The 17,281-nt window shown below is 38.2% G+C and overlaps 1 protein-coding gene and 1 long non-coding RNA gene across 9 annotated transcripts in view; both read left to right on the forward strand.

The window, feature by feature from the left end:
• The window catches only part of TSNAX-DISC1 (TSNAX-DISC1 readthrough (NMD candidate)), a 512,620-nt gene that overhangs the window by 14,520 nt on the left and 480,819 nt on the right, over window positions 1–17,281 (forward strand). The window lies entirely within an intron of this gene.
• TSNAX (translin associated factor X) overlaps window positions 1–17,281 on the forward strand; it is a 37,856-nt gene that overhangs the window by 14,504 nt on the left and 6,071 nt on the right. The gene's annotated exons all lie outside the window — the stretch shown is intronic.

A 17,281-nucleotide genomic window follows, 5' to 3' on the forward strand; every position in this document is an offset into this window, starting at 1 on the left:
GTCTCAAAAAAAAAAAATTTTGAGGGTATACTGGATCTTGGTGGTTATCATTATTTTCAAATAAATTGAATAAATGTATAAAGTGCTTGGTTCTTTCCTCTTTCTTCTTTTTCTAATGTGGGTTCATTGATAGGACAGATACTAGATAATTCAGATACAGGTTCAGTATCCCTTATCCAAAATGCTTGGGAACAGAAGTGTTTCAGATTTTGAGTGTTGAAATATTCACAGTTTACTGCTTGAGCATCTCTAATCCAGGAACCTGAAATGCTCCAATGAGCATTTCTTTTAAGCATGACCTTTGAGCATCGTGTCAGCACTCAAAACGTTTTGGATTTTGGACCATTTCGGATTTAGGATTTTTGGATTAGGAATGCTCAATATCAGTACCCTAAGATTTGCAGGAAGACTGGGAAATGAGTTTATTTGGTATCTGCTTAATACGAATACCCAGTTTTAGCCTAAACGTTTATAATTTCAGCACTTGTTTTTTCAGAAATGTTGATATGTCTTCTAATATGGGTAAGAGAAAGTACCAGCATACATTAGTTAAAACTGAGGGTGCATTGTTGGAAACTGAAGTGTAAAACAGTTCTGTGAGGAGTCATTATAACATATTACCAAATGAAATACAGTCTGCCATCATAATTTATTAATATCAGGGGTTTATTTGATTTCTTAATAATAGCACACACAATAAAGATGACTTCATGAATTTAGTTTGTTGTAAAGTGGCACAACCTGTAAAGTGTGACAGATTTGGCTGGAGTGGGAGACAGGATCAGAAGTACTGGTGGGAAGAAGGGTGAAGTAAAAGGTAAATCAAGCTTGGCAGAAAACATGAGAATATCTTTATAATAGTAGCTGTGACCATACTACAGATAGATTCATAGCAGGAAAATATTTCAGACAGAGTAGTCCTGCTATACATAAGTTAGGTATGCGTGTGTAATCTTGAGGGCTACTGGGTGGTAGTGTTGGTGGTGGTGGGGGACCAAGTTAGGTCTCTTAGTTTCTGGAAAGTGCTTGAACTGAAGCAGCAGTACAGTCTAAATGTCTGTATTAAACAGAAATCCAATTCTACAGCTTTTCCTAAGTATCCTATTAACCTGAATGACTAAAGGCAAGAGTTTGAATAACTTCCATAATCTTTATCATTTTTTCTATCACATCATCATGTAGTATGCCTATCTTGCAAAAATTCATGACAGTTAATAAATGTAATAAAAGCTGATCACAGTAGTTCTCACTTTGGACTTCAGTCTGCTTAAAACTTGTATTTTAATAAAAATTCACATATTTTCCCCAAAATGTTGGTGCCTCATGTGTGAAAAAGTTTTTCATGTTTAGACTTCTCAATTCCTTATTAGTGCATGATTAGGCTCTACTAATTGTGACAACATCAAGTTCCCCAAATATCTGTGGGACATATGGGACATTTCAGATTTGCTGTATTTGGCCCAGTAGTTCTATTTTGTATGTCCTCATGCATCAGTGAAGTATAAAGATAAAGAGTTTAAATAAGGGCCAAGGCCATATAGATAATGATACCAAAAGCAACCTAGAAAGCTGTACATTGTCTTACAGAACAGAGAAATGGAGAGAAAAAGGTGAAAGGGAAATATTCAGTAGATTATTTCCTAATGCAGGAAGGAAGTGCTGTACTCTTGGAAAGATAGGACATTAAGAAAATGGGAATGATAGATCTTCAGATTTTCCTACTTCACTGTATCATTGAGGATTATTATAAGCACAGTGGTCTCTTTTAGGCCTTCGTTTATGATTTGTAAGTTTCCTTTGAAGATAACTTACTCATGGATTAAAATAATGAAGGATTTTCTGTATCTTTTCTGTAAAAAGTCTTTAAAATGAGATTCTTTGAATTGAAGCAATAAAGATGTTTTTTCTTAAAGTTAAGGAATAAAGCAGTCAAGTAAAGAGGTGTCTAGGACCGAAAATTTTGCTGACAGATATTTTATTTGATAAAATAAGGTTATTTATAATTGGATTAGCATTAACAATATGATGCTTATGAATAGCTTGCTGCTTGTAATTGTTAAATGCTTGTTTTGGTATTACTCCAAATAGTTGTTCTTTTGACTTGAAGATAAAACAATTCTGGCAATGAACTAAAGGAGTTCTGTGCTTTTCCTCATTAAGAATAGTGCTAATGGCACGCAGAGCATTTCCCTAAGGGATACTTGTGTGAGCTCAAACATTGAGTATCCTAATAATTGAACAACAACAAAACGTCAGGTCTGTTTTCTACACATTTCTTATCAGAGTAGATTACAGATTGTCCCAAGGGATGGTTAAACAAATGAACAAATAATTAGCTGCTTGAAATAAGTCTTTAAAAAAAAATTTGTGTCCTGTCATTTTTTTTTTCCCTCTTGTTGAAAAATTAACAGTTTGGGGGAAATGTCCTCCATTTCAAAGAAGAAATACATGTTTTTTTCTTAAGTTTAGTTTATATCACTGATAATGATAAGAATTGTCATTTTTTGAGACATTTCGGTACACAAAACTAAGTTTATATCCTAATTAATGTTTTAATTCTTTTATCCAAGAATGTGAATGATGGGTAAAGTGGATGTTTTGGGCCAGTTAAGATATGTTTTTAGCCACTATTCTTTATATTCACAATCTCATAGGTTTTTGCAATACCTCTAAATCATAGATATTTTTACCACTTCACAGGCGGGGAGATTGAGGCTCACAAGTTATGCTCAGGGTCATAAGCTAGCACGTGGTACCATTGGTTTCTTCCCACATGGATTTCATTTACCTCTTAACTTTACAACCTAACTCCTAGCAAAGGCTTTATTTTGCTTACCCCAAATACTGAGGTTTTCCTCATAAACCCAGCACACACTGTGGCCCTTTTTTCATAGCACTTCTCAACTTCTAATGTGTAATCTCTTTATATATTATATTTCTTCATTATCTCTCTTTCCCTTACTAGAATGTAGACTCTATAGATCTCTACAAAGATTTCATTCCTGTTTTTCACTTTATATATCCCAGACACCTAATAAGTCTCCCGAAATACAAATGTTGAAAAGAATGAAGAACAAAACTAATTTTAAAAGGCTTTTTGTTGTTGTTCAGCCATATGCTTTATCTGATGATTTGCTTTCACAAGTTTATATTTTACTGTTTTTTGTTTCTTCCGAAAGAAAGCAAGTTTCCAGGAGCTATTTCTTAGACATACTAGCAGGAATAGGATCAATATTAATGTTTAGGGAAGTTCCAAAGCTACTATAGCAGTACAGAGAAATTCGATGTAGGTTCAGCATATTGGCAAAATTGTGAGTGCCCACTGGAAAAATGAACTATGATGTGAATCTCTGTAAGCTTTTGGAGTAACAGTAGGAAGAGTGTAGTGGATGGAATAATATAGCTAAAAATTGAATTTATCTGTTAATGAGTGAGATTAAGAGAGAAGTACCAGAGATGTTGGTTAGTTAAGGTAAAGCTAAGTGCAGAAACAGATTAATAAACTGTGACGTTGCAGTGACTTAACAAACTAGAAATCGTTATCTTTCTCTCTTGAAGACCAGGCTTTGTAGTGGTAGTTTGAGTGTGCTCTGCCCACTTAGTTATTCACAGATCCATGCTCTCTGGGGCTCTGCTGTTACCAGTACATGATTTCCAAGATGAGCCAGGGCATCAACATAGAGCTGACAGATTGTGGAAAAGGGAGGAGTGGGGGATGGCGCCTGAGGATTTTATGCACCAGCCCTGGAAGTGGCATGGAGCACTTCTGCCCACATTTTGTTGGCTAGTCACATGGCCACACCAGCCTTAAGGAAGAATGGGAAATACGGTCTCTGTGCGTGCCAAGGAAAGCAAAATATGTTTGATGAATAGTTAATTTTTCTCTGCCTGATATGGTAATTTGATGTTCTTTTGGTGTAATAGAAAATTCAGGTATATGTCTGTTGATTGATTTAACATTTTTTTCTGAATAGATTTTTCTTTTGTTTGAAAGCATTCATTTGTCTGTTTGAAAGTGATTTTATAACTGGTGAGAAGACTTTTAGTTCTACTACCTAATTTTGTAAATGAGGTGAGTGATAGTATTGGAATTGGAATCCGACTTGTTTCATCTACTCTGATAGACTTTCTGCTAGACTATTATCCATCTCTGATAGCTAGTATCTAGTGCTTTAAACTGTTTTATCTAAAGCTAAAGGCTTTTTCTTTTTTTTTTCTTTTTTTTTTTTTTTTTTTGAGATGGAGTCTCACTCTGTCGCCCAGGCTGGAGTGCAGTGGCGTGATCTCGGCTCACTGCAAGCTCCGCCTCCTGGGTTCACGCCATTCTCCTGCCTCAGCTTCCCGAGTAGCTGGGACTATAGGCAAATGCCACCATGCCCAGCTAATTTTTGTATTTTTAGTAGAGGTGGGGTTTCACTATGTTGACCAGGCTGGTCTCAAACTCCTGACCTCAACTGATCCACCCACATTGGCCTCCCAAAGTGCTGGGATTACAGGCCTGAGCCACCGTGCCCAGCCAATTTGCTGTTACTTCTTAGCAAACCAAAAAGTATTTGAGAATTGTAGTACATATTGACTTAGGATAACATTTTAGAAGAATAACAGCCCCTTTCAATTGTAAGCTAATAAAAGGGAAAAGAAATCCAAGGAACAAAAAACCATTGCTTTCTTTTTTTTTTTTTTTTTTTGAGACAGTCTCACTTTGTCGCCCAGGCTGGAGTGCAGTGGCACGATCTTGGCTCGCTGCAAGCTCCGCCTCCCAGGTTCATGCCATTCTCCTGCCTCAGCTTCCCGAGTAGCTGGGACTACAGGCGTCCGCTACCACGCCCGGCTAATTTTTTGTATTTTTAGTAGAGACAGGGTTTCACCATGTTAGCCAGGATGGTCTTGATCTCCGTGATCCGCCCGCCTTGGCCTCCCAAAGTGCTGGGATTACAGGCATGAGCCACCGCGCCTGGCCACCATTGCTTTCTTTAAAGACATTATAAAATATTGTCTAACAAAAATTAATGGCAGTAATTCTTATTTTATTCTTCTCATAGTTTAATTTAGTAAACAGATACAAAGGGCCCTTATACCAGACACTGATAACATTATTCTGTATAAACCCTACTATGTAAACAGATGCCTGCACTTTACAGATGAGAAAATTGGAGCACAGTAAAATGAGTAAACTTAACTCAGTTCACACTGCTTGCAAGAGACTTAGCTTTAGAACCTAGGACATCCTCCCTTCAAGTCTCTGCTTTCTGTTTTGCCATTATCATATTTTATTCAGTGGGAAGCTAGAGGCAGAGAGGTGAGGCAGTTGTAGTGGTCCTTCTTGGAGTGAAATGAATAGGGCCTCAAGTTTGGTGTTAGCAGTGGGAATAGAGAGGAATGGGCATGTTTTTAGAAGACAGTTTATTTTTAAAAAGCAGAAAGGGAATAGTCTAGGGATGCCTTTAGGTTTCTGGTTTGGCCAACTGGATGAATAGGAATGTTATTTGTTAAGAGGAGAAAACAGGAAGGTGGAATGGGTTTTGGAAAAATTAATTGGAAATCTTAGGACGTACAGGTTGCTGCCTAGGAGGCAATTTGATACGTAGGTCTACAGAACTCAGGATGCATCTGCAGTTACAGCCTTGGAGTCATGAGCTTATAAATTGTAGTTAATTTTAAAGACATGGATAAGATTGTCTAAGGAGAGTGTAGAGTGAGAATAAAACCAAAGGCTGGGAACCTTAACTAAAGGAAATACAATATAATATTTAAGCGAATAATATCCCTGAATAATCAAGACCTGAGGATGGGATCCAGAGCTTAAGCCTTGTATGACAGGACAGCTCCCTCTTCCCAGATGGGCAGTTACAGATGGGTAGTTACAGATGGGTATAGAGGTAGGGAATTGAGAAAATTCTTGCTCAGTCACTTCCATTTTCCTGTCATGTGCTGAGAAAAGGGGATGTGGTGGGGAAATGGTATGGAATTGATGGGAGACTGGAGATTTAAGAATGACTCTGATGGCTCACGCCTGTAATCCCAGCACTTTGGGAGGCTGAGGTGGGCGGATCACAAGGTCAGGAGTTCGAGACCAGCCTGACCAAAGTGATGAAACCCCATGTCTATTAAAAATACAAAAATTAGCTGGACATGGTGGCGTGCACCTGAGGCAGGAGAATTGCTTGAACCCAGGAGGCGGAGGTTGCAATGAGCCGAGATTGCACCACTGCACTCCAGCTTGGGAGACAGAGTGAGACTCCGTCCCCGCCCCCAGCCCAAAAATAAAAATAAAAGAATGAATGTGAGTGTAATGGGGATGGGAACTTAACCAGGAATATTTAATAGTTGCTGTTAATCATTTTTGAAAGTTTACCTGAGCAATAAATATAATCCTTTCTGTATAGCAATAGGAATGAATGAGGCAGAAAGTTAGATTAATTCATGGTTTGGGTCGTGCTCATTATTTGGCAGTAGGATGACAGTGGGAGAAGTAGGAAAAGATAAGCAGCCTGCTGCATTATTGTGGCCATGTTTGTTGTTAAAATAGAAATACATCCTTCTTTGTTTGTTGGTAAGTAGTATATTGTCAACTGTGATGAGTAGTAAAATTAATAATACAAATTTCAGCACATGTGGTTTATCTCAGAAGCCAAAGGTGCACCGATTCCAAGATACTATATTAGTTTACTAGGCCTGTCATAATAAAATACCACAGACTGGGTGGCTTAAACAGAAATTTATTGTCTTGCAGTTCTGGAGGCCTCAAGTCTGAGATCGAGGTGTTGGCAAATTTGATGTCCCCTGAGGCCTCTTTCCATGACATGCAGATGGCTATCTTTTCCCTGGGTCTTCACATGGCCTTGTGCACACGTGCACACACATCTCTGTTGTCCCTGTGTGTCCTAATATTTCCTTATGTCACCAGTCATATTCGATAAAAGTACACCTCAATGGACTAATTTTAACTTAATCCCCTCTTTAAAGACCTTGTCTGCAAATACACTCACATTCTCAGGTACTAGAGGTTAGGGCTTCAACATATAATCAGCATATTTGGGGCAGCCCAGTTCAGTCCATAACAGATACTTTTTGGTTTGTGCACTGCAGCTAGAGGATGAGCTACAAATGTTACTTTGGAGTGGAGGGACTGGGGAGTTGCTTTTAAGTCCAGGGGTGGGTGGGGGTGTTGTGTTGTGCAGCTGAGCTGTGGACTTCTTTTGTAAACCCCCAAAAAGAGGTGCCTTAAGGGGAGAAGCAAATAGTGTCTGATGACTCTACTGGGAACCAGGGATATAAACAGATATTTCATGCAGAGCATATTCTCTCAGGCTGCGTTTATAATCTCAGGTAGGTTCAGGAAGCATTGCTTTATTTGAGGCATGGCCCCCTGGTGGAAAGAGAAGTGGCTGTCTCTGCACATAAGGGAAAGAGTCTGGGGGAAGGGAGCCTTATTGATAACCATCACAGGACAGCAGGCATCCCAGCAAGTGAGAACACAGATTTTCTTTCTTTTCTTCTTCCTTCCTTCCTTTTCCTCTTCTACTCCTTTCGTCCCCTATTGGTTGGAGGAGAGAGTATGATGAGAGAGGAACAGAGACTAAAGGAATGGTTGGGGGAATTGGAAGCTGACAATGGGGGCAAGCCTGTGTGAATCCCCTACATTGGCAGGAACCCAGTTGCCTGATAACTGTCATTTTAATGGAGGAGGTCATAGGAAGAGTTTGATGATACTTTGCATATCAAATCATGGCTCAGACAAGGGAAGTCAAAAGCCCTTTCCAACAGCATCTAAAAAATTAAGAAATGATTTGAGAATTATTGGAATGATTTGAGGAATAATTTGTTATATTTTATATCACTTGGTAAGCAGTTCTATAATATAGTTTAGTGTATTAAGAAAATAAAAATATATTTAAAATTTGGGATTTATATTTATTTATATAGTACTTTATATTCCTGTTAAAATATCTTGAATATGACTCCAAGGGACAAGGTAGTTGAAAGTGCAGATGAGTTATTTAAGTGGCTATTATAAGGATTAAGCAAGATAAGAAGAGAATGTGGTCCTTTGGTATTAGGAAAGTCAGTTTTAGAAGATCCCCAGATTGGTCTTAACTTTTCTAGTCTGTGAGGTCTCCTTGTAAGAGGTAAGGCTTGCTCAGTGAGGTGAAGTAGAAAGAGATCAACTTTGCCATCAGACCTGGGCTTTTATGTTTTAATATTCCATATCGCTGTAACCTTGGAACAAAGTGTACAACCTATTTGAATTTCAGCTTTCTTTCCTTTAGCATGAGAACATTAATAGCTACCTCCTGGATTTTTTGGAAATTAAATACATTTATGGAAAGCATTTATTTTGTTTGGCATATAACCATTAACAAATGTTCATTCCTGACCTTTCTTGAATTTAGCAAAATTAATCTATAATATTGTACTAAATTTTAACATTTATTTTCATTTTGGATAAAAACTCAGTGGTACCAATTTGCTCAATACTCGTTCTTCAGTGCTGATGTAAAAACCCTGCCTAGGGCTGGAAGTGGTAGCTCATACCTGTAATCCCAGCACTTTGGGAGGTCATGGTGGGAGGATCACTTGAGACCAGTCTGTGCAACTTAGCAAAACCCTGTCTCTACAAAAAAGTAAAAAAAAAAAAAAAAAAGTAAATAAATAAAAATAAAAACACCATTAGCTAGGCATAGTTGCTTGCTCCTGTAGTCCTAGTTACTGGGGAGGCTAAGGCATGAGGATCGCTTGAGCCAAGGAGTTTGAGGCTGCAGTGAGCCACGATTGTGCCACTGCACTCCAGCCTGTGTGACAGAGCAAGATCATGTCTCTTTTTAAAAAAAGAAAGACCCATTCCAGGCGCGGTGGCTTACGCCTGTAATCTCAGCACTTTGGGAGGCCAAGGTGGGCGAATCACCTGAGGTCGGGAGTTCGAGACCAGCCTAGACAACATGATGAAACCCCGTCTACAAAAGTTAGCTGGGTGCGACAGCAGGCACTTACAATCCCAGCTACTCGGGAGGCTGAGGCAGGAGAGAGAATCACTTGAACCCAGGTGGCAGAGGTTGCAGTGAGCCAAGATCGTGCCACTGTACTCCATCCTGGGCAACAGAGCCAGGTTGTCTCAGAAAAAAAACCAAAACAAACAAAAAAACCCTACTCAGACAAAATCCAAATTAGTGGAATTCTATTTAGAGTTTACTGTTGGTAGTATAAGCACACATACTTTACAAAGCTGAGGCATATAGATATATTTATTTTCAGTGTGCACTTCATGTATTTGAAAGTAGATTTTTAGCAGAGTGGCCTGTGAATCCAATATAAATCTGATTTCATTTTAACATTTCAGTGATTGATTTGGTGACGCTAACTTGTTTTAAAAATTCATGTGGTACCAGAGAAATAGTTACAAGTGCAGTTTTTAAAAATTGAGACATTACATACCACATAATTAAATTTTAAATTGAATAATTCATTTGTTTTTACTGTTTCCACAAGGTTATGTACTTATCACTGTCTAATACCAGAACATTTCATCACGCTCAAAAGAAACCTCCTACCTATTAGCGGTCATTCCCCATTCCCCGTTCTCCTAATACCAGGGTTAGCCCCTGGTCACCACTAATCTACTTTTGTCTCTATGGTAATTTGTCTATTCTGGATATCTCATATAAATTGAATCAAACCATGTATGGCCTCTTGCGTCTGGTTTCTTAGAGCATGTTTTCAGAGTTCAGCTATGTCATAGCATGTATCTGTATTTCATTCCTTTTTAATAGCTGAATTATAGTCTGTTTTATGGATATACTGTATTTTGTTAATCTATCATCAGTTGGTGGACTTTTGGGTTGTTTATACTTTTTGGCCTTTGTGAATAATAACTGCTGTTAATATTTGCCTACAAGTCTTTGTGTGAATATATGCTTTCAGCTCTTTTGGGTGTATATACCTAGGAGCGGAATTACCGAATCATATGTTAAACAATTTCTGAAAAAGCATTAAAAACCAAGAAACAAAGTTGAGTCATGTGAGGTTCAAATTTATAATGAAACCTTTGTCATATCTGTTTGCTTTTATATATAGTTTTTGATGGAGATTTGGACTGGATGTATATTGCTTAAATATTAAAGGAATATGTAAAAATAATCAGAAGCCTTTAACTGGGTTTCCCTGTTATATGTTCTAATGGGAGAACAAGGAAAAAAATAACAATTTACATAAAAGCAACCTACAGACTTCTCTCTTACTGGCAGCTGATTCTGTAAATAATTCTAATTGGATTTCATCCAAGGCTAAGACAGAAGGGGAAGGCATTGTTTGATGGAATATGGCAGTACGTTGAAAATTTTCACCTTGGGGATTATTCACTGAAAATAGCGGATGTCCTTTTTATCAGGTTGAAACATAACTTGTTTAAACATCCTCTTACCTACATGTGACCAAAAATGCTTTTCAGTGTTTTGGGCCAGATGTCCTTGAACTTTCTCCACATTATAGCATGAAACCTAATTTCTTTCTTTCCTTTTTTTTTTTTTTTTTCTTTGAGATGGAGTTTTGCTCTTGTTGCCCAGGGTGGAGTGCAATGGCGAGATCTCGGCTCACCACAACCTCTGCCTCCCAGGTTCAAGCGATTCTTTTGCCTCAGCCTCCCGAGTAGCTGGGATTACAGGCATGTGCCACCACACCCGGCTAATTTTGTATTTTTAGTAGAGACGAGGTTTCTCCATGTTGGTCAGGCTGGTCTCGAACTCCCAACCTCAGGTGATCCACCCACTTTGGCCTCCCAAAGTGCTGGGATTACAGGCGTGAGCCACCACGCCTGGCCCATGAAATCTAATTTCTATGGAGCAAAAATGGCCACCTCATCTCTGAAGTAACTTTTGTTAACACATTTCAAGGACAACTTATATAATGACTAGATATACTTGAAAATTAAATAACTGACACTCACCCATATTTAATAGAGATTGACACCAAAGATAAATTTTGAGGACTCTTATTCCATATTCTCTCTTTTCCCTATTAAAAAATAAATCAGGACCTCAAATTCTGCCCTTCATCAGTTTGAACACTAACCTTGTTAGAAAGTATTTTAACTTAAGTACAACTAGATAGTTCTGAATAATTGAATACCAAATTTTAAAATATTTTTTTTGTTGAGGCACTTAGTTTCATAGACCTTGGTGAGGAGAAACAGATTATTAGAAGGAATTTACGGGAAAAAGTTGAGTCTCTTGTACATATGAGTTGCTATCTTTGGGAGAGGGCCAAGGAGCAAAGTCGTCTGGGCATTGTCCCCACCCTCAGAGTTCTAGGGTGCAAAATAGGTGATCAGACAGCTGTTTGTAATCTAAAACTGACTGAAACATTTAATTGAAGTACAAGTTTTATATAGTGAGAATGAAGAGACGAGTGCCGCCTTGATTGGGGTGTATTAAAACATTTAAACTATTGTTGTAGGTAGAGAAAGATGTGAGAGAAGGCTTCATAGTCACAGAATGACATGGAATCATGAAAGTATATAGTGTGTTTGGAAGACTACAGAATAAGGTTAAGCAAAACATGGAGAAAAGCTGAACCAGGAATTTAGTGTGGAAAAATGTTGAGAAAAATGGGTATGTTTTATATGGAGATGACTGTCAAGAAGCAGGTAAGATGGGAAGGGTGTGAGCTTTTGAATTCTAGAAACTTTCACTATTTACTGTGTGACTTGGCTGAATTTCTTAACTTCTCTATGCCTCAATTTGTTCATTAAGGATAGTAATAGTCACATAAGGTTATAGTGAGCATTAAAAAGATGGATGTAAAGTTCCAGATCCATACTCTTAACATGTAGTAGACATTCAAGACTTAGTAAACTATTATTTTATTTTTAAAAAGTTTGTTGAGGGCTTCTGGGTGATACCCCTAAATAATTGAAAGCACGACTTGAACAGGTATGAATAGTCATGTTTACAGCAGCATTACTTAGAAAAGCCAAAAGGTGGAAGTGACTCAGTTGTCTCTCTATAGATGAGTGAATAAACAAAGTGTGGTATATGCATACAATAGAATATTATTCAGCCTTAAACAGGAAATTCTGACATATGTTACAACGTGGATGAAGCTTGAAGACATTATGCAAAGTGAAATAAGCCAATCACAAAAGGGCAAATACTGTATTTGTTACTTACATGAGGTACCCAGAGTAGTCAAAATCATAGAGACAAGAAAGTAGAATGGTGGTTGGCAGGAGCTGAGGGGAGGAGGGATGGGGAGTTAGATTAAGAAATGCTAGGTCCAGAGTTTCATTTTGGAAAGATTAATACAAGAATTCTGTAGATGAATGGTAATAATGGTTGTACAACATTATGAATGTATTTAATATGCTAAACTGTACACTTAAAAATGGCTAAGCTGGTAAATGTTATGTTTGTTTTACCACAATTAAACGGAGAAAAAATAAAAATGAAACTGCTAATTTTTAAAAAAATCAAACGAATTCTAACCACTTCAGCTCTTTAAGCAAGATGCCATAATTCATTTTGTTGGGAGTAAATATTGCTTACTGTATTGCAGTATTTGGCTTACAGAGATGATTGGAGTAAAAGCACATCTTAAGAGTTTGCTCCTGCTCAAGGAAAGACTGAAATTCCTGTTTTCCTAGGTCCTCTGTGATAATTAAGGATTTTGTCCCAGGGTAGATGTCCATTTGTAGAATAGAGTCCTTAAGGAGTTTTTGGACATGCAAGAGTAGAAATGGAGCTAAGTTGAGGGGAGGAACCAAAGAGCCTTGGATAATGAAAGATGAATAATTTTAAATTTCATAGTTGCACAATGGAAGAGGGGAAAGAAAAGCAATAGACAATCAAAAAGCAAAGTACTATTTTTAAAACTACTCCTGCTTCTGAATGAATGTTATTGAACAAAGATGACAATTACGGAGACAATGATATGGTAAAATATCATGCATTTGTCCATGGAAGAAAAAAGTTTGTTCACCTTCATTAGTTGTAAAAAGTTGTTTTGTCCGTGAGTCAATTCAAAACATGGAAAATGGTTTTAGTGAATTTATTTTTAAAAATAATTTGTAATTAGTAAAATCAACTAGGTACAACTAAATGCCAGGCCTGGGCCTCAGTTGTAAAAGTACTAGATGCCATGATCTTGATGGTACTTTTAAAATTTGGAATATTTTGAACTATTCTTCCACTGAAATATGAAAAAAAAAGTACTTGAATGAAACTAAACTATATGGCAGCCAAACAGAAATGCTATTTGTTTCTGCAACAAGGCACTGCTGAATGATACAGAATATTAGTAGTATGTTGTTGCTAAAGTGTTTGTGGTCTTATCAACAGCTACATATGAAATAATACTAAATTTAACAAATAGGATCGACAGTGTTACATTGGGCGAGATGGAGAGAATAACAGCCCCCTTTCCATGTAAGGCTGCTTATCCTGTTTGTTGAATTTAATATTATTCAAGGCTCAGGAAAATATGTGTGTATTGCCTTCAACTGACATAGTTCTACTTTTTATACTGTCTCCCTACCTACCTATTGCCATGTATAAGACAGGCACCTTGCCAGTTGTGTTTGATTCTGACCATTTAAAGCAGTGCTATTTTTTGCTCAACATGCATACAGATATATGTTTATGTACCCATCTTGGAAATGCAAGCCTTTGTGAGTTATGACTTAACTATAGCATGAATTGAGGCTGATAATGTAAGTGGGGGTGAAATTAAGCATGGTCTTATAAGCCACGTTAATGGTTTTGCCCTGTATTCTGAGCGCCATGGGAAGCTATTTGGGCTTTAAACTGGGGAATGATGTCGTTAACATATTAAAAAGGCAGACAGTCTGCAGTGTGAGAATGGATGTGAAGAGGTCAAGAATAGATGGGGGGAGACCAGGACATGCTTAGAATTGGCAAAACTTGAGAGAACCAGGTTTGGAAGGAAGGTAGTGAGTTCATTGTTGGAAGTGTTGATTTTGAGGTATCTTTGGTAAGGATGTCAGATACTCATTTGGATGTGAGTGCCTGTTGGCCAGAGATGTGAAGTTTAAGGGCAGCAAGGTTACTTGAAACCAAGTATAGATGAACTGGAGGGAACCTAGGACTGATAGAGGCAGAGACTTAAGAAGACATGACTAGAGAGGTGGAAAAGTGGGAAATCAGGAGATGATGCTGTCAAAGGAATCAAAGGAAAACTTGTTCAAAGAGGGGAAGTGGCACAAAATGCTGAATGCTGCCGAGATGAAGACGGAAAGAATGTCCATTAGTCTTATTTATTATGGTAATCTTAGCAAGAACTATTTTGTTTTAGAGATGTACCCAAGCTAGATTGAAGTAGGTTGAGAAGTGTGAGATGAAGTTATTGAGGAAATGATGTAGCCAGCTACTTCAAGAAACTTAGCTCTGAGGAGGAGGAGACAGATGGAGCAATAGTTGAGAGGAAATATAGGGTTCATGGATAGGACAGATCTGAGTGTGTTTCAGTATTTCTGTAAGATTCAGTATAGAACATAAAGTGAGAACACCTAGTATGTTAAAGGGAGAATTCATGTGAAGCTCCCAGCTGGTACTGAATCTTGATCCTGAACCTAATACAGTGACTAGCCACAGAAAATGGAACACCTTCTCTAGGTAGTAGGGCTGAAGGAGAAGTAATACCATTATTTATTTTCCTAATTCCTTATTGTATTCATCAGGCTCCAAACAGGAAACAGAAATTAGATGGTAATATGAACAGGGAAAGTTAAATACAACATACAGACTTATTAACCATATAGGGGATTATAAGAGTAAAAGAGAACTCTAAAGAGTACTGGAATCTCAGATAGAGTGAGCAGCCACTACCCCTAGGGCGGAGGCAGAGCACCCAAGGAACTAAATTTGGCAGAACCCAACCCTCACCCTTCACAGGATGAGGTCCAGACCATGCTGGAGAGGGTGGGCATGTCCCATCGGCTGGCAGAGACATTTGCTGAGCTGTTGTGCTGATGGACTCTCTGGGAAGCTGTCCATGGGGAAATGCCATGGAAAGGAATTCCCTGCCCAAGGAGGTGGCTTACTGGGAAGCCATTCTCTGGAGTACAAAAGAAGCTGTCCCCAGGCAGGTGCTACATGCTGTTGGCCACCTTGAAGTGCTGGCTGCCCCATACTCAGGGCTGTGAAGAGGGGCACAGCAGAACCAGGCAGAGAGCTCTTTACAGTTCTTTAAGCACCTAGCACCCTGTACTGACAAAGCTTAATATATTGCCAGCTGGCATAGGAGACATGCTTTAAGTATCCACCTCCTTCTTCTGAAATAATGGAACTAAGAGACAAAAATTGACAAGTGATACAGCTATTACTGGTCTTTTAACTTTAAAAAATTTTTTTTGCTGTAGTGACAAACATCCTTATATGTAAATCTTTGTGCATATCTTCTTGTTTAGCTCATAAGAGGCTAACCACATTAGAGCATGGAGATGTGATTATGCATCTTTACGTTTTGCTGTTTGCTTTTGTGTGCATGAAGTATCTTTAGAAGGAAATGAGAAATAGAGATTTTCTTTGGGGGGGAACTGGGCGGTGTCACCTATTCATAAAACTAAAAATTCATAAAATTAAACATTTAATTAAAAATATTTTTAATTATAAATATAAATGACATCATCTGTTTTGTTAAACTTAACCTCGTTAATGTTTAATTTCTCAGAACATTATGGTTTGTTAAATTGTCCCTTCTGACCTATATTTGGGCATCATTTGCAGCTCAGAATGAGTCAGGATATTTTCATTTAGTTAAGTTTCCTCTTAGTGCTATCAAAACCAGGGTCACCCATTTTCCCTTGTATCCTGGACCTTTGCCTGGCATTTGATGTGATGATACTACAGCTGTTAGCCTCCCCAACACTGTTGCTGCCATACCAGAAGTGTAGTGGCAGGTGGGGGAGACTTGTGAGTAGCAGGACTCTGTCATAAAAAATGTTAGAGAACTTAAATATCCTCTTAAGTTCTGAGTTTTCTTTGCATAATCAGAAATGTATTCTCTTGCTATTTTTACAACAAACCTTTAAAAAGTTTCTTAAACTAACAATAATAATTAAGAAATGCTTTTTCCCTGTATCACCTTTCAGATTAAGACATCAAATAATATTGAAAATTGTGGCTATAGAATATAGTTTGTTGTTGTTGTTGTTGTTGTTGTTTTTGAGATGGAATCTTGCTCTGTTGCCCAGGCTGGAGTGCAGTGGCACAATCTCGGCTCATTACAAGCCCCACCTCCCGGGTTCACGCCATTCTCCTGCCTCAGCCTCCAAAGTAGCTGGGACTACAGGCACCCGCCACCATGCCCAGCTAATTTTTTGTGTTTTTAGTAGAGACGGGGTTTCACCATGTTAGCCAGGATGGTCTCGATCTCCTGACCTCGTGACCCGCTGGCCTTGGCCTCCCAAAGTGCTGGGATTACAGGTGTGAGCCACCGGCGCCCGGCCAGAAAGTAGTTGTTTTAAAACACTTGGAAAAGTATAGTACTGTAGACATGTAACAAAATTGCACTTGTGCCCTTTACATTTATATAAACATTTTTAAAAGTATTTAAGTTACATTTTGATCTTTACCAAAATTTACTCTTCAATTCAAGGGTTGTTTCTGTCTTGTACAAAATTGTATTGCATAGCTCTCTTTTTTTTTTCTTAAACTACCAAAGCAGAAAGGAGTTATCTAGTCTTAGATCCATTTTGAACTATGAAAAGATAAACGGTATTTTGACACTTACCTACATTAGTTAAAAGTGATTTTGCCTATTAAAACTTTAAGAAAGATCCAAATTATTATTATTATTATTATTATTTTTTTTTTTTTGCGACGAGTCTCGCTCTGCCGCCTAGGCCGCAGTGCAGTGGCATGATCTTGGCTCACTGCAAGCTCTGCTTCCCGGGTTCACGCCATTCTCCTGCCTCAGCCTCCTGTGTAGCTGGGACTACAGGCGCCCGCCACCACGCCCGGCTAAGTTTTTTTATTTTTAGTAGAAATGTGGTTTCACCATGTTAGCCAGGATGGTCTGGATCTCCTGACCTCGTGATCCACCCGCCTGGGCCTCCCAAAGTGCTGGGATTACAGGCGTGAGCCATCGTGAACGGCCCAAATGATTCTTAATTTTATGTCTCATTTGTTTGAATCATTGCTTCGTTACCCAGCAAAATAAAACAAATTAATTTATATAATTTTTATTAAAGCCTATCAAAATTATGGAATAGGCTTTTCTTTTCTCCCCCCCCCCCCTTTTTTTTTTTTTGAGACGAAGTCTCGCTCTTGTC

This window comes from Homo sapiens, chromosome 1 (assembly GCF_000001405.40).
Source record: "Homo sapiens chromosome 1, GRCh38.p14 Primary Assembly".
Taxonomy (NCBI): Eukaryota; Metazoa; Chordata; class Mammalia; order Primates; family Hominidae; genus Homo; species Homo sapiens.